General features: G+C 42.1%; 1 protein-coding gene across 11 annotated transcripts in view; it reads left to right on the forward strand.

The window, feature by feature from the left end:
* CDK15 (cyclin dependent kinase 15) overlaps nt 1–21,917 on the forward strand; it is an 89,122-nt gene extending 67,205 nt beyond the window's left edge. For 6 of the 11 annotated variants that reach the window (NM_139158.2, NM_001366386.2, XM_047445553.1 and 3 more), the window contains 3 exons: nt 6,395–6,534; nt 17,152–17,294; nt 19,668–21,917. In NM_139158.2, the coding sequence (NP_631897.1) occupies nt 6,395–6,534; nt 17,152–17,261 (250 nt within the window). In that variant the 3' untranslated portion in view covers nt 17,262–17,294; nt 19,668–21,917. Of the gene's footprint in view, nt 1–6,394; nt 6,535–8,631; nt 9,059–14,826; nt 15,820–17,151; nt 17,295–19,667 lie in introns of those variants that run through there. The other 5 variants (NM_001261435.1, XM_011511652.2, XM_011511650.3 and 2 more) reach the window with 5 other exon arrangements.
* Nucleotides 21,918–22,695: the final 778 nt, after the last annotated feature.

Genomic DNA, 22,695 nt, shown 5'->3' on the forward strand with positions numbered 1-22,695 from the left:
GAATACCTCTCTGGCTTTTCTGACGATATAGCACCCATGGCCTCTGCGCCTTCCCTTGTCCCCTAGCAATATGTATTCACCTTTTCTCAGACTTCTGGCTTCTCTGCTCAGATCTTTAACACAGGAAGTAATGTCTAGGCTGGGCCCGGTGGCTTACGCCTGTAATCCCAGCATTTTGGGAGGACGAGGTGGGCAGATCACCTGAGGTCAGGAGTTCAAGACCAGCCTGGCCAACATGGCAAAACCCCGTCTCTACTAAAAATACAAACAATTAGCCGAGCGTGGTGGCATGTGCCTGTAGTCCGAGCTTCTCAGGAGGCTGAGGCATGAGAATCGCTTGAACCCGGGAGGCGGAGGTTGCAGTGAGCTGAGATCGTGCCACTGCATTCCAGCCTGGGAGACAGAGTGAGACTCCGTCTCAAAAAAAAAAAAAAAAAAAAAAAAAAAAGTTGGGGGGAGGTAATGTTTAGGGGTGTTTAGAGGTATGTTGTCTAATACAGTAGCCATTAGCCACATGTGGCTATTTAACTTCTTAATTTACTTAAATTAAGTTTAAAATTCCATTCTGTTGCACTAGCTGCATTCCAAGGATTCAGTAGCCACATTGGAGTAGTGACTATGATATTGGACAGAGCAAAAATAGAATATCTCCATCATCATGGAAAATTCCATTGGCAGCGTTAGCCTGGATTATCACATGGGAAAATTCTTGGCTCTTGGAAGGGCTCTGTGAAAGGGTTAACATTGGATGGGATATATACTATGTACCTAGCAGGGTGCTACATATATTATTATATTTAATCCTTACAAATATCATTCCCAGGTCAAACAGGAGGAAACTGAGGCTGAGAGAAGTTAAGTAACTTGGCCAAGGTAGTCCAACTAAGTAAGTGGTAGAGCCAGGATTCATCCGGTACCCAGGTCTCTGTGGATTTGGCTGTTGAATCAGGTTGCAGATGTGGCGAGTAACAAGCAGCCGAAGTGTCACTGGCTTTTCTACACAATCCCTTCAGAGGTGCAGTGGAACCATTCACAGGCCTGTAGATGAATCCCCGGGGCTTGCTTGAGGTTTGATGGTGATCTCCTTAATGTGGGCCTAGTAGGTACGCACTCACTTTTTAGATTGATTGGCAAATTGTAGGACAGCTTCTGCAATGTTTCTTCCTAGTATTGGATGTATTTCTGACTGTGGGCATCTACTACATCCCAAACTGAGAACATTTAAAAAGTGCCTACTCTATCCCTGCCCTGTTCCTCTTCCTGTAGGTCTAGGGGGAAAACCAAAGAACCCAGTTGAGCTCATACTGACCAGCCTGTCCTGCACCTCAGAGGTCAGTGGCAGTGCTGTGGGTGGGAGACTTTTATACTCAGAGCCAGGCTGTGCTAGGAAATCAAAACTGCTGTCCCAGACCCCTGAGAACAACCAGATTTTAGTAGTATGGAGTGATGGGTTAGTAGATGGTGTTTTACGCAGTCACAAAACTCAATTTTCATTTTTTCTTATTGTTTGTGTTTCTATTCTGGACTTTTAAGATTACATGTAGCTGTCCCGGCCCCCAGCACATCTTTTAGGATTGATACACAATTTTAATTATTTTTATGACTTTTATAAGCAATGGGGCCTGTGGCAATTCAGGTGGGTTGGAATGAATTTATTATCCTTGCCCACAGGGATGAGCACGCTCTTAGGCTGCTGGCAGAAATGGAAATTGGTACAGCTCTTCTAGCTGATAGTATGAATCTACAGCTCTTCTAGCTGATAGTATGAATCAAATACTTTAACATGTTGTATATATCCTTCAACCGAACATCAATTCTAAGAATTTATCCTAAGGAAATATACACAAACCCACAAAGATTTCTCTTTGAGAATATTTGTTACAGCGTGATTTTAATAGTACTACCTCCATCCCAACAATAAAGGAAACAACTCAGATAGGAGTCTAGCTCTGTAAATTATGATATGCCTACATAATCGAACGATAACAGCCAGTAAAATAATGTCCTAGAAAGTGATTCAAAGTTATGGGAAGATGATCAAGGTAGTTCAATGGAAAAAGTAGGTTATAAGAGCATGTATAGTATGATCCCATTTTTTTGTAAAACAAAAACTATACCTGTCTAAAAGCAAAGGACTGAAGAAAACAAAGACCTCAAGCAATGGTGATTATCTTTGAGTATCAGAGGATTATCTCAGAGTGATGGGCTAGTCATAATTTTCCTTCTCTGCATTTTCTAAGTGCTCTACAAATAAGTATGAATTATTTTGGCATTGGAACACTTCTCACCTCTTGAAATGTTACTAGAAGGACTGATTTATCACAGGATTCTTTACCTTTAATAGCAGATTCTCATTAATTGGGCGGGGGGTTTTCCTACCTCTGCAAGATACTCCTGTCATGTTTGGTAGTTAACATCACAAACCTAAGAGTATGAATTCACATTTACCTTGGAAAGGTGCTGGTAGGCAAATTAACATTTGTGATGTTCATTTTTTTATGCCAATGTTTATTTTTAAAGTAGGGGTTGTAACCAGTGGATAATTGTTCCAGCGGGAGTTAGAGGTGGTGGCCACATGTACAACTATGACAGTAAAGGCAATTGGTAACAAGCAAGGCCATAGGTGACAGGAAAAAGCATAATGATACAAACACGGAAGATGTCAGTAAATCAACATTTGTGCCCAAAAAGTAACATTTGTTTTCCCGGGACTCTTTCCTCAGCCTTGCAAAAAGAGCTCAATGTGCGATAGCAAGGCGGCGATTACTGGGGCACTTGCCAAAGGCCCAGATCCTAATGGTCTTGCTACCAGTGCTGCCAGTGAAGGTTTGTGTTCATGTGGGGTGGAGTTGGCTTGTACAGGGGAGACCGACACACACTTGGCTCCTAGGAGGAAGAGACTTCACTTGCCCGCTTTGCCCTGGTGACCACCTCTACCGGCGAAGGAGAAGGAGAAGCAAAGTGCAGCAGTCATAGTTCAGAGGCTGTGAGACTGGAACAAGTCCAGAAACCACCAGAAGCCCTGAAACAACCCTGTGGGGAGGGTGAGGGTAGGTTCTGTTGGTTGAAATGGAAAATCCTAAAAAAGAGGTCCTTGCACTAATTAGTACCTACCCTTCTTTTATTCATTCACCTGGTTTAAAAAAAACAAAAACAAAAACCTGTTCTTATTTTATTTTTTTGAGACAGGGTCTAGTTCTGTCACCCAGGCTAGAGTGCAGTGGTACGATCGTGGCTCACTGCAGCCTCGACCTCCTGGGCTCAGGTGATTCTCCCGCCTCAGCCCCCTGAGTAGCTGGGACTACAGGTGCATGCTACCACACCTGGCTAATTTTTGTATTTTCTGGTAGAGATGGTTTTCACCATGTTGCCCAGGCTGGTCTTGAACTCCTGGGCTCAAGTGATCCTCCCACCTCAGCCTCTGAAAGTGTTGGGATAACAGACATGAGGCACAGCTCTGGCCAAATAACCTGTTCTTATAAGAAAAGGGGTGCCCCTAATACCCCTGTAAACTCCATTAGCCTTTCTTGGCTTCCCCAGACACTCTACACAAACACAGTCTAAATAAAAACAATATGCCTGCCATGCTAACACAAGTTTAAAACAGGTCTCCCAGCCTTCCCTGTCCAATCAGACTGCAGCCCCTCAGCCCTCACTACAGGGCAGTTCAGGAGCCATCTGTTGTGGGTTAATGCTGGGGGAGTATTCGAGAGAACAAATCGCTGATTGGGGTGGGACTGTGGAGGTGGAAGTTGATAGATGCATTGCTCCCCACCACCTACCCGCCCTCCCCATGTCCAGAAGTTCATATTTAACCAGAAAGCATGAAGCCTGCAGAAAGTGGATTCAGGGCCAAATTTTGGCACAAACTTCACCTCACTACCCAATAGTGTGGGTGGACCAGCTAAAATTTGTTCATGAGATTTCCCCTGAGTCTCCTTCCAGAGAGATCCTAGGCTCTAGTGATTTGTACTAACATTCCTCTTCCAAACGTCCATTTCATGGGCCCTAAAAAACCTCTGCCTGGACAGGATACCCTGGATGAGGAATATATCTGCCAGTCCTTCTTCAGGCCACAGCAAATGAGTAGACTTCTACACAATTCCTTTTTCTCCTAACTGGCCTGGAAATTTGCAAGGATTTGGAAATTTGCAAATTTCTTCTCTATCTTGCCTATGAAGCAATTATTCCTGAGTTTGAAAGTAGTTATCTGTTTGCAGAAACAGTTTCATGTCTTGGGAATCAAATAGCTCAAATTTTTTAATGCAAATCTTATGCAAAAATTAGGTAAATTAGAATTCTGGGCCAAGACTTCCAGCATCTCTGCATCATGGCACCTGGAAGGGAAATAATATCTGATCTTTCTTGCTTTAAGTCAGTAGGTGTATTTGACATTAAGTAAGCCCATCTATGTCTGCTTAATTGGGGATTTACTGTGGTGTCTCATGGCCATACAACTTAATTCTGAATGTCAGACATCAGTCCCATGATCAGCTGCCCGCTGGGATATGCACAGTTTTCCCTCTTGTGCCTTTCCAGTTATAAACCTATGTGTGGGTTGTGGAGTTGGGTGTACATAAATGATTGGCATTAGATGAGCAAAGCCTTTCAAGCATTGTAAGTAAATGGGAAACATGAAGACCCACAAGCCACCCTCCCCAGCTTCATGTCAGGCCTCTCTCCCCATTTTTGTCCTGGGCCAGCCAACTGGCCTTGATTCCCTTCTTAAAACTCTGGCTTCTCCCTCCCACTCTAGGGTCTGTGTAGGTACCACAGATCCCTGTCAGTCAAGGCCTGCCTCTTTCCTGCCCTCCATTCTTCAACTCTCAGCTCAAATGCCACTTCCTCAAGAAATCCTTTCCTGACCACCTCTTCCCATTATAGGTCAGGTATTGAGGCTATCTTAACCCTTAAAATAAGGTCAACTTGAGGATTTGTCCTTACTGTGATTTAGGTACTTAATTATCTCTCTGCCTCTGCTCCATCTCAGGGGAACCAAAATGTTATACCTGGGCTGCTATAACAAAATACCTTAACTGAGTGATTGCCAATTAATAGAAATGTATTTCTCACAGCTCTGGAGCCTGGGAAAACCAAGACCAAGGTGCCAGCAGCTTAGGTGTTGGGCAAGGGGTCTCTGCTTCACAGATGGCACCTTCTCACTGTGTCTGCACAGGGCAGAAAGAGCAAAAGGGCTCTCTCAAGCCTCCTTTATAACCTAATTACCTCCCAAAGTTCCCATTTTCTAATACTATCACTTTGGTGATTAGGTTTCAACATAAATTTGAATTTTGGAGAGATACAAACAGTCAGACCATAGGATTCTTTTCTTCACAGTTGTACTTAGACATCTGTGTGATAATTTGATGAACATCTGACTCCTCTACCTGAGCTGCCAGAAGACAGTCTTGTCCTGTGTCTCCCAAAGCCAACCACTTACTAGCACATAGTAGTTGCTCAATAAATGTATTTGCTCATCTCCAGATATATATTTCAACATAAGATCAACTTGAGGATTTGTCCTTACTGTGATTTAAGTACTTAATTCTCTCTCTTCCTCTGCTCCATCTCAAGGGAACCAAGAGAGCTTCCTAACTAATAAGACTGGGTGAGCTTCAGAAATGCTGCAAACAAGTGTATTTTCTACCCAAGCTTCACCCTCCAGAATCACCTCTTTAGAATTCTGTGCTTTTCCCCCTCCAGATTTCTGTGCTTGCCACCCTTGGAGTCCAGAGCCTTGAACATGTTTTTTGTTTGTTTGTTTGAGACAGAGTCTTGTTCTGTTGCCCAGGCTGGAGTGCTGTGGTGCAATATTAGCTCACTGCAGCCTCTACCTCCCAGGTGCAAGTGATTGTCATGCCTCAGCCTCCTGAGTAGCTGGGATTACAGGTGCATGCCACCACGCCCAGCTAATTTTTATGTTTTTAGTAGAGACAGGGTTTCGCCATGTTGGCCAGTCTGGTCCCAAACTCCTGGCCTCAAGTGATCTGCCTACCTCAGCCTCTCAGAGTTCGATCGTATTTTGAATCAGGCCTTTCTACTTGGTTGGGGCTGCAGTGTTCCTCCAAAAAGAATCCTTGATTATATATTTCTGTTTATAATTATATTTCTGTGTCTTTTATGTGTACATGGTGCCCAGACACACGGTGGAGGGCAAGGGAGCTGAGTGATAGAATGAGGAGATTTTTCCCCTTCAACTTAGTAACAGGACAGTCAGTAAGAGTTTAGTATGGGGGTTACTTTTCCAGTTGCCATCAACTTTAGCAATTCCAGGAAAATTCTACTTAAAATCTAAGTCTAGCCATCTCCTTTTCTTTACTTTTTGTTTTTATCCCTTTGTTTTTCAGAAGGGAGGCTGCTGGAGAAACTCTATTTTTCTCTCCCACTTTTCCAGGCTGGGCAGGGTTCCTGAAGCTGAAGACCTGGCCTCCCAGATGCTAAAAGGCTTTCCCAGAGACCGCGTCTCCGCCCAGGAAGCACTTGTTCATGATTATTTCAGCGCCCTGCCATCTCAGCTGTACCAGCTTCCTGATGGTGAGCGAGGGAGTGTGTGCGTGTGCGTGAGTGCATGTGCGTGAGTGCGTGTGTGTGTAAGTCTTGGTGTCTTAAGTAGTTTGCCTCAGCACCGGAGAATCATAGCATTTACCCCCAGGAGTGAAGTTAGAGATCAGTTTGCCTGGGAGAAGCAAGATAGGACCTAATCTTGTCTGAGTTTTGCATGAGCTTCTCTCAAACTCTGAAGCACTGGTGGGGAGAGGTTACAAGGACCTCTTTGTAATGGTCCAGACATTTCACAGGTACACATTTACACTCAGAAATTGGATGAGATGGACGTTGTCTCTGAGTTGTTTGCCTTAGCTACCATCTGCCAGGAAGCCACACCAGTGTTTCTAACAAGACTCTTCTCCCTTTCTGCGGAGAGTAAGATGATAGGTGAAGCGGATATGTCCTGAGAGGGAGCTGGGCCTTTCTTGATTGGTAATAGCAAGCTGCAGAAGGCAGTGCCGGGGTGGGGTGCTGGGGGAAGGGAGGTCTCCTCCGAGGCTGCCCACCTCCTGTAAACACAAGTTACCTTGGAATCAGCCTTTGCTGCCTGGGCCTGAAGTCATCTTCCAAACCTGAAATCTGCTGAGGGATCATGTGGTTGGAACTCCCGTCATGTTTCTTGGACTGTGGCCAGGAAGGGCTACAGGAGGATGTGGGCAGTGGTCATGGGGGACTATCCTTAGGTGAGGTTTCTTTGAAAAAAAATCCACCATTCAACTAAAAATAGTTTTAGGAGCAAGGGACAAGTAGACAAGAAAAGCAAAGCTACCAGGAAGGAAAAACAGAAGAGAGAGAAGCAGCCAGGGTTGGTTTTAGAAGTCCTAAGCCAGAGAAAAGAAAGCTTAGGAGGGAGGGCCTAAGGGCTGGAACTGCGATGAGGACACTGGAAGGGGCGTGGGGGAGTGGCGATGGGGTGCAGTGAGATAAGGATGGGGACAGGGTGAGGAGCTACTGCCCAAGAGGTGTGGAAACAGCCTGGTCCGCCTTGCCAGAGTTTGCAGACGCAGCTCCTCTGTGTCTAGGACATCGTCCTGCAGCAGTCCAAAGCGCTTAGTTTGGGACTTGCTGAGGCATTCTGTTTTATGACTAAAGTGAGTCATTTAGGATCTCCAAAAATAACCATAATCATACAACTGGGGTTAATGTCTTACTTAACCCTGTAGAAAGAGTCAGTCATTAGTATTTATTAAATTGCCATTAAGTGTCAAGAACATATTGAGTGCTATAAAAAGTTGAGGAAAACAAGAGACTTGTCCTTGGCCTCCAGGTTCTTATGAAGTGGGAGGAAAAGAGGGTGAGGAAGAGGAAACGGGGCACCCTCGCACACATATCAGCACACATCATATCTAAACAGCAAAAAATCTGTGCATAATCAACTGCAGATGTGCAGAGACTATGTGTGTGTTGAAGGCAATTATTTGGAGGAACAAGAATTCAAATGAGATGGATTAGACTGGAGGTGAATCTAAAGTGGAATTTGGAAGGAGGAGAGAGGCATATGGGTGGAACAAAAGACATTGCAGGCAGATCCACAGTTCTCACTCCTTTCCTGGTACCTCTGCCCCCACTTCAGCCCCATTCCTCCCCGGCCACTCCCATCCCAATCCCCTCTTCCCAGTCCAAGCCCCTAGATTGTTCCTTTTCAGCTTTCTCCTGTCAGACTTGGGACTTATAACTCTATTACTTCATGCAAGTGTACACGCTTGGATGTACATACACACGCACACACACACACACTCCCTTCTCTCCACTTAAAGAAACTTTCCCCATTGGCCCTCCTTTAGGATCTGTTATTCCACATGCTGACAATTGCTGGGGATCTTCAGAGTTTTCTAGGCTCCAGCTTTTGCTTGACGCAAGATGATTAGGAAGAAACAATCACTGTCCAAACTGATGTGTTGTTAGAAACTTGGGTTTTGATTTTTCCTGGCTGACCCAAAAGCAAAGCCACCAACAGAGGGGCCGTGGTGCATGGGTATCTAAGGTTGTGTGTGTATGTGTGTATATGTGTGTGTGCGTATGTGTGTGTGTGTGTGTGAGAGAGAGACAGAGAGAACAATCTGTATTCCTTCCCTGTTCGCCCAGTCACAGAGCCCAAATCTACTTTGACACTTTTAGAAAAATGAAAAGATGGAATCTTGTAGGAGGCTGCCTGCACTAGCGGGGGAAACCAGGAGTGCTCACAGCAGGAGGGAAGTTGACTTTTCTTTATACATATAGGGGTTTTTCCATGCAGAGTTTAAATTATGCCTGATAAAAGGAGTTTCGTGGATGTTTCAGTTCTTTCAAATTCTCCTGGCTTCCTCCCAATTAAATGAGGTTTGTCAAAGCCACAGGGCTCTGCTGCTGCTGCCTCGGCGGACAAGCATTTCCTGCAGCGACATCTCGAATCCCCGAGGGAGAAGATGAAAGCGCCGGTGCCAAGAGACAGGGAAAGGCGGGGGCAAGATTGGGTGTGTGTGCTTCTGTGTGTGTGTGCTCGTGCACATGAGTGCACGAGCATGTGTGTGTGCTTGTGTATGTGTGTGACAGGGTGGTGGGTGTGCAGAAATATGTATATAGACAGATGGACAAGTAGATAGAAAAAGCAAAGCTACCAGGAAAGAAAAATAGAGGAAGAGACAGAAGCAGCCAGGGCTGGTTTGTGCACCTTCGTGACAGTGGCTCTCACCACCAGCACATTATCTACTAAGAGATGCGGTCCTTGGCCTGGCAGTGCCAGCCTGCTTTTTCATTGCCCCTGGCAATGAGCCTTTATTAACAGCCTCCTTTGCAGACAGAGCACACCAGTGGGTAATCACAGTTCCCAATCTGCAGGGACATAGAAACTCCATCCCTGAGGAGGGCTGCCCCAGGCATGAGAATTGTGCAAAAATCGGCATGCTCTTGTGAGTGATTTGTAAGGAGAGTTTCTCTGCCATAATTATGCAAGAAATTTTGCTCTCTGGTGGCATTTCAGTATAAAATTATTTAGGGGCTTATATTTATATCATTTTATTATTCTGATTTTATTCTGGTTGCAGGATAACAGAGTTGTCACTTTAAAATATATTCTGTTTCCCCTTTGATCTGGAAGATGCCAGCTCTTATTGTCTGCCCTCTAAAGAAGACAATTAAAGCATAAAGCCTGGGACTGGGAAATACGTGGAGAGTGGAAGGACAGCCTAAATCCCAGTGTAGGAGCGGCATAGAAATTCCACACAAAATGAAAGAATTGTTCCAGTCCATCTCTATTTTCATGACGCTGAGAAGTCCCGAACAATGCTTTCCCTAGGTTGTGGCAGTACGCTTAGAGCCAAAGGGCATTTATCAGGGGGTTATTTGCCATGAAAACCAGGAATTCCAGGATTAGTTTCCTTTTGGACAGCACCTGAAGTGGAAAAGTGTGAATATTAGAATGGCAAGCATGTGGGAACTTCTGCCAAGTTCTGACATTTTCCCTTATTGACTCGTGAACACCTGAAGAAACACTTGTTGAAGGAGAAATTATTGGTAGTCCCTCTCAAAACACAGCCAACAGCAAGCTAATTGCTTTTGCAGATGGCCAGGGAGTCGCTCTTCCCACTCAGACACCGGCTTATGGCCACACTTGTGGTCCTCGTGGCTGAGCCAGCAGGGCAGGACGTCAGCTGGAGCAGCTAGGACCTAAAATTAGGCCCTTGGCAACTCTCTAATCTTAGCTGCAGGTTCAGCTTCTTCATTTAATTCTCTTTGCCCTCAGCATGAACTTGGGCTCTGGGAAAGGAACACTGTTTAATGATTTGGGGGTGGGGGTAGTAGGAAATCATTAAGCTGCCCCTTCTTAAAACTGGCTCCGCTCTGTTCTTTCAGGAAACCTTCCAAATGTTACCCTTGGAAATTTAAGACTGATTTTGGAACCTAGCCATTTTGAACTACAGACACTGATCCAGAAAAGTATTTTTTATCTGAGGCAGTAAATGACACGTGATTTAAGAGTCTGGTCTTTAAGCCATGGTCCTTGATCGTCAGGACATCAAAGGCTGTCTCTCTTTCTCTCTCTCTCTCTGGGTTGGTCCCATTTTGCTTGCTAGCCAAGTCTCATACTTGAGTCTCCCATTCCTTCCTGGACTAAATCCCCTTCTCCTTTAAAACAGGTTTTAGCATCTTAGGGGGAGAAAATCTAAAAAGCTTGCAATTGTTTCACAAGTAATTTTGCAAAAATGCTGTACCACAGCCCCCATTGTTAGAGTATACTTATATACACATAGGGATGGAAGAAAGCATGGCATTTACCTCTACCTTTGATCACACCATCCCGATATCTATACTCCGAAAGTTCTTCAGCATGCCTCATTGCCCTGTTAAAATCTGAGTCGTGTTTTGTTTTGGTTCAATAAAATAACTTCAGGCCTTCTTTGAGTGTTATCTCCTTAATATATTGGAAGGTCCCTATGATATCACTTCCCAAAGGCCACTTTAGGCTGAATTCCTTTAACCTTTGTTTCCAAATACAAATTCTGTTTCTCCCACTTTTTAGTCATTTTGTTTTATTGTTCTCTTCTGAATCTGTTCCAATTATTTTGCTTATCTCTGAGAATATGGAGGCAGCATAGACTCAAATTTCTTGCATGGTGGGAGAATCATGTTCCATTCATTCATTGGAGGTTTACTGAGTGTCCATGAGGTGTGATATTAAAGGATACAAAAATGAATTAGTCATAGACCCTGTCCTCAAAGAGCTTACGGTCCTTTAGGAAATAAGACAAGTATATAAACAGCTGCAGATCAAGTATACAAATAAAGTGCTCTAAGTGTTTGAAGGAGGTGAGATTAACTCCAGCTGTGGGGATCCAGGATGATTTTGTGAGTGGGCCTTGAAAGATGATGGGTCTGGATGATTGGAGAGGAAGGGCATACGGGCAAAGGAATGTCGTGTTCCTCTCAATACCATCTAAGATCATTCTGAAGTTGTCTTCTTTTTAATCATAGTGGCTCAGTCTTAACTCATATACCATTGTAGTTTTTCTTACCATCGTATGCCTTTTTGCAACAATTTAAACATTCTTTAACATGTACTAATCAAGCTTAGTTTCACTCTGAATGCTTCCACGTAATTTCAAACCTATTCTGTTTATTGGTTTTTTTGTGTATTCTATTCAAAGTTGAACCAGAATATTTTGTCATTCTATGAGGCCAGGTTTCAGGGGCTGGGGATGTTGGAAAAGAGGGAGGGAAGATTCTCAGCCATCCTCTTGACTCTGTGCTACTTCTAGGAGTTTGTAACGTAACTCAGACCAATCTGTCCACCTTTTAAATCCTCCATTAATCAGCCCTTAAGAAGCGAATTTGGAGATGTCCTCCATAACACACTTCCTCACCTTCTATGCACAAAGTTGTTCTCCATCCATTTCAATATGTTAGAGGAGATACTGGGTTGAGACGTGGTTTATGGGGTTGCATAGCATTGTGTTGCTGGGAGAAGTCTGGGAAAACCAAGTCCCTCAGCCCTACCAAGCCCTTAAGTTGGTTAAATTTGTTACGTTCATGGCTGAGTCTCCAAGTAAAGATAAATAATTCAGAAAAGAGTTATTTATAAAGGATCTTAAAGATTACTTATTCCATACCTTCATTATATAGCTGAGTCACTGATGCCCAGGGAAGAATAATCGTACCTGCCTTTTATTGGACATCTATATGCTTTATATAAATTATCAATCTATGTACTAATTGGTGAGGCTGGAATTGTTATCCTCATATTACAGATTAGACAGCTGGAAGTCAGGTAGGCTAATTGCTTGAAGTCACACAGCTAGAAAGTTGTAGAGCCAAGATTTTACTTCAAATCTGACTCCTAAAAGCTACTCCTTTCCTACTATTCATTGTTCTTGCTAAAGATCACATAGGAACTTAGCTGCAAAATCAAGATTAGAACCAAGATCTTGATGCCCAGTTCTGTGCTCCTCCCACTCTCTCATGTACTGTGTTTATTTTAAAGCTTTTCTGGGAAAGATTCCACACATCTCCAGGTAGCGTGTTTAATATCTCACAATTAAGAGGGCTCAATTTATGTTGAATAGAGATTTACACCCCAGGACCAACTTCTTCCTCAATGCCATCTTACTTTAGTTTATTTTCTTTTCTTTTCTTTTCTTGTAATAATATATGCAATCAGCCTTGGGTTTTAAGATTTTTTTTTTTTTTTGAGATGGACTTTTGCTCTTGTCGCCCAGGCTGGAGCGCAATGGCATGATCTTGGCTCACTGCAATCTCCATGTCCCAGGTTCAAGAAATTCTCCCGCCTCAGCCTCCCGAGTAGCTGGGATTACCTGCCTGTGCCACCACGCCTGGCTAATTTTTGTATTTTTAGTGAGACAGGGTTTCACCATGTTGGCCAGGCTGGTCTCAAACTCCTGACCTCAGGTGATCCACCTGCCTTGGCCTCCCAAAGTGCTGGGATTACAGGCGTGAGTCACCTTGTCTGGCCAAGATTTCTTAATCGATGGTGATAAATGTTTTTGTTTCACCTGTGACTCATTCAGTTTTATAAGAAAACATCAAGGAATCCAGTGGAAAATGAGTTGAAGGCATAAAATAGCAATTTATGCAAGAGGAAACAAAAAGAGCACAGCAACACATGGAATAAATTGACTGCTTTACTAGGGATTAAAAAAATACAAATTACCGTTAAATTAGTTGTTTTTTCCTGTAACCTAATAGCTCCCAGTGTTGATGAGATTGTGGTAAAATGATTCTCTGCTGATGGTATTGAAACTTTTGCAAAGTGTTATAGCATGCATATCGGGAGCCATAAAAATGATCATACCCTTATACCCTATACCTTTGTTCCTGGAAATTATCCAAAGAAATAATTGAATAGGGGGGAAAACCCTAAAACCTAGATTAATGAAAATGTTCATTGCAGTGTTGTCTATAATGTTTTACAATTTTTTAAATAAAAAGAAGCAATGTCACTGTTAAACACCAGAGAAACAATTGGACAAATGTTGGTATATTGACTCAACATACAGTACTATGTAACCATTTTAAATGATCATTAATAGAATTGTGTGATATTATGAAAGTTCTTATGCTGTAACATGAGCTATAAGAAACTAGAATACAAAATTGCATATTATAAAGTATCTCTGAAAATTAATATGCACATGAACAAAACTGAAAGGTAGTGTACAAAATAAAAATGCTATTCTAGTTTAGGGGGGTTGTAGGTCATTTCTTTTCCTTTCTCAGAGCTTTCTTTAAACTGGTGTTATATTGTCTTAGTTGTTTAAAAGAATAAGTTAAAACAAAATGGCACAGGCAGTCTGAGCTGTGGATTGAGAGTCAAAGGACCTGAGTTTTCTTCTTTTTTGTTTCCCAACATAATGTGTTTTGGCTGTAATAAACCTCAGTTTCTCCATCTGCATGATGGGTTAACACTAGTTTTCTTTACCCCAGGTTGACAGAATATTTATTTTTATAATGCTTCTAACTCACCGAATGCAAGGGTTCATATAAATTTGGTCCTGGGAGAATGAAGGGCAGGAGGGAAAGGAAAAAATAAATAGGCATAATTAATTTTAAAAGGAAAGATCATCTGCTTTAATCGGAAATGTATGTGTATTGTGCCCCTAGTCAGAGTTTTAAGTGCACTTCGTGTTAGTTAGCAACTTCAATTTAAAGTGCTGTGTGATCCTCTGGGCTTTGAAGATATGAATTCTCTATACATACACATGAGCTAAAATTACCGCATAATCACGAGGATGTGTGCACTTTGAATAATTGAATGCACTAAACATCTCCAGCTGATGGATTGATGATGTGGGAGAGTAGTGCAAAACCCACGTGACACGGAAGATTACAAGACATTTTGAAATGATAGCTTAATTTTCAACCTTTTTTTTTTTTTTTTTTGCTTGTGCTTTCTCTTTTAGCGATTATGGGCAAGTAAAAGAGATTTGATTATCTTGTTTCCTGTGAAAGGTTATTTAGCCCCTCAATCCCATTAAGTCACTTTCTGCACTCCAGTGCACTGAGCCTTCAGGTTATCAGCCCAGGAAGAGTAAATGGAGACACCAGGATCAGATTTCTAAAGGAAGGAAAGTTAAAGCAAAGTTTGAAAGGGGTGACAGCCAACAGCCATGAGCTTAGGAACTCAATTAGACTAAAAAGACAACTATCTCATTATCTCGTTCCGAAATGATCTAAATACATAAGAATCTAAAAGTTTTAAATAAACTTGTCCTGCCGACTGTCTAGATGACTGAATTTCCCTTCTCAAAAAATTTTTAAACACCCGCTTTCATATTTATTTATTCTAAGAGTGAAGCAGCTGCGATAATTATGCTGTCAGCCTCGGGAAGCTAATGAGGAGTCACCAGAGTGGAAGGTTTTGCATTTGTGAGATTGCTGAAGGAGAGCCGCGCTGCAGCTTTTTTCGTTTTTTATTTCCCTTTCTTTCTTTCTTCCTCCTTTTTCTTTTTCTATGAGTTGGGAAGGAGAGTCTGGCAGTCCACAGCCAAATTGGAATCCTTTTGATTAACCGGTTGCCTTCCCAGCATGTTCTGCCAGATAGTGTCTCTCTCTCTCTCCCTCCCTCCCTGCTTTTGAGGAGCTGCTGCTTTTGAGGGGCAAGGAAGCCGGAGGGAAATCCCAGCTTTTCATGCCACTGTCCCCAAGGCAAGAGGATACTTCTCCCCGAGAGAAGTTCCCCAAATGGTTTGGATTTGAGTTGATTTGAGAATAATTGGTAAAGTATACGCACTGTTTATTTTAGCCATTTAACTGTCTATGCTATGACAAGATCTAATAGAAAGTAGAATACAAAATTGCATATTATAATATCCGTGTGAAAATGTCTTATGCATATCAACAAATGGTATGATGGCTCCCCTTTCCAGCCTATTTGGAATATGCGATTCCAAATACAAGACAACGAGACCCCAGATTACCCACAGCATTTAAGGGCAGAAGTTTAGGCCAGGCGAGGCAGAGCTGGCAAGTTTATTTCTTCCCTTTGGGTGTGAGCAGCTTCCAGCAAACAGTATTATTTAAGGCATTTTATGCTTTTGGTGCAGTAATAACAGAAGGCTCTCTTTTTGTTAAATTGTGAGATATTTTGAGCACCCCAGATTTATGCAAATTGTGAACCTGGGAAAAGCAATGCCCAAGTGGAAAGGGGCCCTGAGTAAATTTTGCGGATGTGCTTTGGTGACAATGTGGCTGCTGCCTCTTGCTATTTTTCTCAGATATCTGTGCTAATACTTGTAACAATGGCTACCATTTATTAAAAACATATTGTGTATCATAAACTAACACAAGGTGTTTTGCATATATTATCTTCTTTAAACTTACAGCAATCTGCCAGGAAGTTTTATTTTCCGTACTTTTCAGATAAGCCCCTTGCAATGTCAACTTTTGGAGGAACTGGCTTGTAGCTTTAGTGTAGTGAGCATTCAGGAGTAGCAAGCACTTAACAAACACAGGCACTTGGGAAAATGCGAACTGCCAGTATTCTGAGCTAACCAAATACCTGATTTGGACATCAAAGGTAGTATATATATTTTCAAATAGTTTTTTTTTTCTCAATTTGCAAAAGTTGCACCTTAGAGTCTATATAAATAGATTGCCAGCCAGGCCCCGAGGCTCATGCCTATGATCCCAGCACTTTGGGAGGCTGAGGCAGGTGGATCACCTGAGGTCAGGAGTTCAAGACCAGCCTGGCCAACGTGGTGAAACCTTGTCTCCATTAAAAATACAAAAATTAGCCAGATGTGGTGATGCTTGCCTGTAGTCCCAGCTACTGCGAGGCTGAGGCAGGAGAATCACTTGAACCCAGGAAGTGGAGGCTGCAGTGAGCCGAGATCACCCCACTGCACTCCAGCCTGGGCCACAGAGTGAGACTCAGTCTCAAAAAAAGAAAAAAAAAAAAAAAAAAGATTGCCTAATGTATCTAACAAAATTGGAAACTTCCTAAAACATATCTAGCCCAACGTGATGCTCATTGCCTATCACTCTCGAACATCACCCTCTAACTAACGTCCGGACTCCTTGACATGATATTAGTTCCCTTCACCATCTGGTTCCAACTATTTTTCCAACTTTATCTCCCAGTCTGTCTTGTTCTAACCATGCAAGATGACTTGCAGTTCCCTCAAACACTTTTCTTCCTTCATATCTTTGCTCATGCTGATCCCTCAACCGGGAATATCCTCCTTGGCAGTCCTTCACTATTGAGGGCATAGTAATCCTTCAAGTCTCAAAGGGCACCTTGTCTATGCTCTGTTTGTGCTCCATAGACTTGGAGGGAGAGGTTATCATAATCCTTTGTTTGTGCCTCACTTTTGGTCCTTCTTTGTATGTGTATGTGTGTGTATTCCTATTTTTATCATCTTCAACAAGTAGCATACTGCCTTGCACAAGTGTTCACTTGGTAAATATGCATTAAATTGAATTAAATAGAAGGCACTTGCCAACTATTGGATTCAGTAAAGTGAGTCATCTATGAGTCAGTATGAATTATTAGTAAATAAGTCTGGCTCATGTTTTGACATTTCTTCAGGTGGCAAATATTACAACAGACAAAAATATACCACAGAAGATCCCAGGAAATAACATATTGGTGCTTCTCTCTTTTCATTCCTACAGAGGAGTCTTTGTTTACAGTTTCAGGAGTGAGGCTAAAGCCAGAAATGTGTGACCTTTTGGCCTCCTACCAGAAAGGTCACCACCCAGCCCAGTTTAGCAAATGCTGGTGAAAAGAAAGGGCGAGATCACCAAGGTTCTTCCAGGTAAGTGGTTGCAACAGTGAGGTTCCTTATGGAACAAATTGAAAAGCAATTGGTGCCGGGTGGAGAGGACATTGCTCAGGGATTCAGAGCACCTCTGTGCTGTTTCTAGTTCTTCTTCGCCAGCTCTAGGACAGGTGGCCTTGCCTCTTCAGGCCTCCATTGCCTGGGCTGGGCAAAGAGAATAATTACATGCATTGCCTTTCTCTTCCACTCCCGGAGCAGGGATAAAGCTCCTAAGACAGAACTTCTATGCTTCCTCATCGGTGTGAGATCTTCAGCTGACACAGGTGGGACGAAGGGAGGCAGAGGTTGCAGTGAGCCAAGATCGCACCACTGCACTCCTGGTGCGTCAGCCTCCCAAGTGCTGGGATTATAGGCGTGAGGCACAGTGCCCAGCTGGAAATCTATTTGTATAGACTCTAAGGTGCAACTTTTGCAAATTGAAAACAACTGTTTTCCGTTAACTAGGGAATTCTCACTGTCAACTGACAGGGCAAAATTTTGTCCTGGTAAGGGTAACAAACAAAGTTTTCCCCAAAACAAAGGGGTTTCCGGGATGTAGGATGCTCAGTACTAGAATTGGTGCAGTCCTGGGTAAACCAGGATGGTTGGTCACCTTTGTGGCACAAATTACCTTCCAGGGTAATCTTGAGGAGGAAGGGGTGCTGTGAAGGATTTTCCCAAACCCACCATACCCTTAAATGAGTACTGCTAGCAGGCACAGGAAGCCAGGTGGGACAACTCCAAAAGTCACCGTAGTATAGACAACCCTATAGATGTCTCAAGAGCACTTCCCATACTGGGGCTTCCATGGTGGTAGATGGGACAGCAAACAAGATAGAGGAATCAAGGTAGAGCCCACATGCACAGCCTGCCAGCCAGCCTGCCCGCCCTTTAGGTGACCCTGGCTATATTCCAAACCACAAGCATTATCCTATGATTTGGCCACCCATTTGACAACCACAGCTTGGCCGTGCTTCCCAGGGGCCTAGATGGTAACCACCGGTATCTCCCTACACACCCCCCAACAATATCACTCACATGGCTGGATTCACTCTTCATTCTTTCTTTTGATCTCTATCTTTGGCTGTCACGATTTAAAGGCATATACACATTAAAGATATCGGCTTCCTGGCTCTTCTAAGATCATTGTCTTGTCTTCAAAGAGCAGGGAAGTTTAAAATTATAGCTGATCCTCAGAGCATTTTATGAAATACCTAAGTTTGTATTTTGACAATATACATTTAGAATTACAATTGGTGATATAATATGGTATTTCCCAAGCAAAATATTCTCTAGAGCAGAGCTTTTACTGTATAATTATTTTAAACCTGCTAGTTATAAGGACAGAATGAACTTTAGCTGCATTCTGTGAAGTGGAGGGCCTTACCCTTCATAAAATTATCAAAGATACTAATGGAAATGGGCTCAGATGGTGGTGCTCCATTAACATTATTATTATTTCTATTGTTGTTATTTTATTTTCTTAAGCAGCTGGAAGGTAGGGAGATAACCTTGCCTTTCTGATCTACAGTGACCTTCCACAAAAAATTGCTACCTGTAGACATAAATTGGTCACAATAGAAAATCAATTAAATGCAGCATGTCAAGCTTGTGGCCTGCGCCAGCAATTGAAGAAGGGAGAAGGCAGATTTTGCCTCTGCTGGAGTAAGCTCATGATGTCCCTAGGCCTTGGTACGAATGTAAGGAGATAAAACTGAGATGAGCCACAAGAGGGAAAAGCTAGAGCAATTAAACTGTTTAATAAATGGCTTGGGATCAGCAAAATCTAGAGTGCTAGAGTTAGAGAGACTAAAAGCAGTAATCACATGGACACTTGGGGCCTGTAAATCTTTTCCAGTGAATTGAATTTATGTTAAAATATTCACTTTTCAGGAGAGTCAAAATGTAAATTGGCGTATTAGGACTTCGTAACTGGCAGCAATGCCTCAAAATTAAGATTCTTGAAAGAGCTTCAAAATGTCGGTTTCAGGCAGGGAAAAAATGTGTACTGATGTCTACAACAGAGAAATAGAGGGGAACTAAAATTTACTGGATAGATACCACACACCAGGCACTACAGTAAGGGCTTTACACATATTCTTTCAAAGCTTGGCATGTTTTGAGCAGTTGGTGGTGGTGAGTTACAATGATAGCTTATAGAAGCCATCTGGAGATAGATTTTGATTATTTGCAAAGCTTTCTTAGTTCTTATAACCAGGGTTAAGATGCTGCCTCCCTTATGTTTTATCATTACCTTTTCTATCAATATATATAATGCCATCAATAACTTTGCAATGTTTAACTGATTTTCCTTCATCAATACTCTGTTGTTCATTATTTTGATTGTGTTTATTTTTCATTCACTTCCAGGGCTGTATTTCTGCAGTTTCGGTTTTCATTTGCTTCAGCTTACTAAGAAGCTTCAAATCTAACTCCATACTGAACAAGGGGCTTTATGTCCTCACCTATGACCTGGAATAGTTTAAATATGGTGTTCAAGGCAATAGTACATAATAGTGGAAGAAAATTCAGTGGAAGGTTATTGCTATTGTCATTTGCATAGAATTTAAGTGATTGATTTAAAAAAACTGGACATAAACTAAGTCTAAGAAGAGGGCTTCTGAATAACTTCATTCATTTTGGCATTTGTTAAGAGATTCCTGGGCTAGAAGGTTGATTTCCCAAAAAGACAGATAAGAGACTGACAATTTAAAAGAATCTGGAGACAGAGCTGGTGCTTACAGAGACCTGCCACTCCTGTGTTCACTTACAATTTCTCCCAACAAAAGGATTTCTGTGGCAAGGAGAAAACTAGCCTAAAGTTTAGAAAAAGATGGTTTCTTGGATAACATTGTTAACAAAAGGACTTCCTGAGGACTATTTATTATTATTTTGTAGGGGGCACTTCCTCCTTCACTAAACTGGATTATCAGAACGTATTACCACCCAACCCATATTTTAGAAGTTTGGATTTGGCTGCTGATTAGAAATGAATTTCAGGCTATCTCCTCCTACTGAATCTTAATTGTCTGTGATGATGGCAACAGTGATGGGGAATCTAAGCGCTGGTTTGATGGTGGAGATATTGAATAAGTAGTTGGGAGCAGAGTTCCAAAGATGTAATTTAAGCCCTGTTGCACCACCACACACACACACACACACACACACACACACACACACACACCCCTCAAGTAAAATGAGAGATCTGTCTTAGCTAACACGTGTGCCGTTTTATACAATGACTCCTTCTAAAAGCAGCCAGGGAAACTCAAATCGCTTCTGTCCAGGGATCATCTCAGGAAATGTAGCAGCCTAGAAACCAGAGACCTCTGTATATCCTTTGGAAGAGCAAGGAGGAACTAATTAAGAGATAATTAAAAAATAGTAACTATCCCCCAATGTCTGAGATGGAAAAAGGAAAAAGACACATGGGTAGCCCAAATCAACCTGCCTGAGTAAGTATCTGATTTTAGTAAGGCATTTGACAAAGACTGTCCAGCTATACCTGAAAGATGAAACAGTGTAGGCTGGGTGATGGAGCAGATATATGTACTCAAATCATGGTGTTTATTTAACCCAGAGAAAGGCCAGCCGTGGTGTGCTACAAGGTTCAGTCTTGAGTCCTATTCTGGTCAAATATTTTTATTAATTACTCGAATAAATCAGAGTACATGGACAACTTTATACAACTCCTTGAAGTAAGTACTATTATTATTAATTTATGACTTCCATTTCACAAAAGAGGAGACTGAGGCTCAGTGAAGTTAGGTAACTCCTTCATAGTAGCATGCCAGAGTGAAGATGCAAACCTCAGACCTGGTTCTCCAATGTTCCTGACACCTATCGAATTTAGAGAATACACAACTCTTGCAGAGGCAGCTGCTATTTAGTATTGGATCATGATTCAAAAGACACCTTGCTAGAAGCCAATGAACAGCAGGCCAAAACAACACTTACTTGCATCAAATTTCATCTGACTTAAATTCTTACACTTTGGGCTACAACTTAAAAAAGGCTATGACTTAGTGGAAATTGGCACTTTTAAGTACAATATGAATTAATAGTATAATTTCGCTGTCCCCCAGAGATAATGCTAGTACCAATCGAAAGCTCAGGGATGCTACTGTTGACGCATCAGCAAGAGTTCTTGAGCAGTTTTACCTGTCCATCAATACAAAGAGTTCCCACAACAGTAGTGGGATTCCTCTGCCTCTCTGAAGATATGAGAGCTATAGGAGGGATTCCCATGTTGGAGGTTAGAAGAGCTGACCTCCAATGTCCCGTCTAATTCCAAGATTCTCCAATAATGACTTTGGAACAGCTGTGTACAGATTATACTTGGAATTATGCTTAGATACTATTGCTGCAGGAATGAATAGACAAATTTTGTTATTAAAAAATTGATTTTATTAAGTGGAAGTTGACAGAATTATCCTCTTTATAATGGAGGAACATTATGCTTATGCATATGCATATACCTTATGCATATGATTATGCTTGTGCTTCCTTCTTTAATGGATTTACCTATTCAAAAGCTTAATAAATGTTATAAGACTCTAAAACATTTAAATCTTTCATTTCTCAATTTTATCAAATAAACATTCCTGGAATTTGTGCATATTTTTTCATCCCGTGTTTTGGTTGTTTCTTCCGTATAGACCAACACCAGACTTTAAAAAACATAATTTATTTTTGTTCAGTTTGAGGCACTAGTTATTTTAGTGATGCTTACTTAGCCACTAGTGCTATTCTCCTAATATTTCTGTCTTCCAGGCATCCATAATGGGGTCGCACTTCTTGGCTCTCTGATGGGTGGATATGGCCACGTGGTTAGTTCTGGCTAATGAATTGTGAGTGGACGTGATCTCTGTCACTTCTGGGCCAAGCATTCATTTGATTGCCAGTATAAGACCCTCCAAATTTCTTTCCTTTTTTTTTTTTTTTTTTTGTTCTGTTTTTTGAGACGGGGTCTCACTATGTGGCCTAGGCTGGCATGCAGTGACTATTCACAGGTTGTGATCATCACACACTACAGACTCAAACTCCTGGGCTCAAGCAATCCTCCTACCTCAGCCTCCCAAGTAGTCAGGACTACAGGTGTGCACCACCACATCTGACTCAAATTTCACTTTACTTTCCCTCGGTTCCAGTGACCAGCAGTGTTTAAGATGATCCCAGAATGAGGAGATGTAGAACAGAGTTCCTGGATGACATATGATGAAGGTGTAGTGGAAGAGAGAAGTAAAACTTTATTGTTTTAAGCCACTAATATTTTGAGGTTATTTGTTACTATAGTATAACCTAGTCTATCCTGACTGCTACCAGGACACATAAAACACACACCTGCACTATCCAACGTGGTAGCTACTAGCTACATGTGACTTTATATTTACATTTG

The sequence above is a fragment of the Homo sapiens genome, chromosome 2 (assembly GCF_000001405.40).
Source record: "Homo sapiens chromosome 2, GRCh38.p14 Primary Assembly".
Classification (NCBI taxonomy): domain Eukaryota; kingdom Metazoa; phylum Chordata; class Mammalia; order Primates; family Hominidae; genus Homo; species Homo sapiens.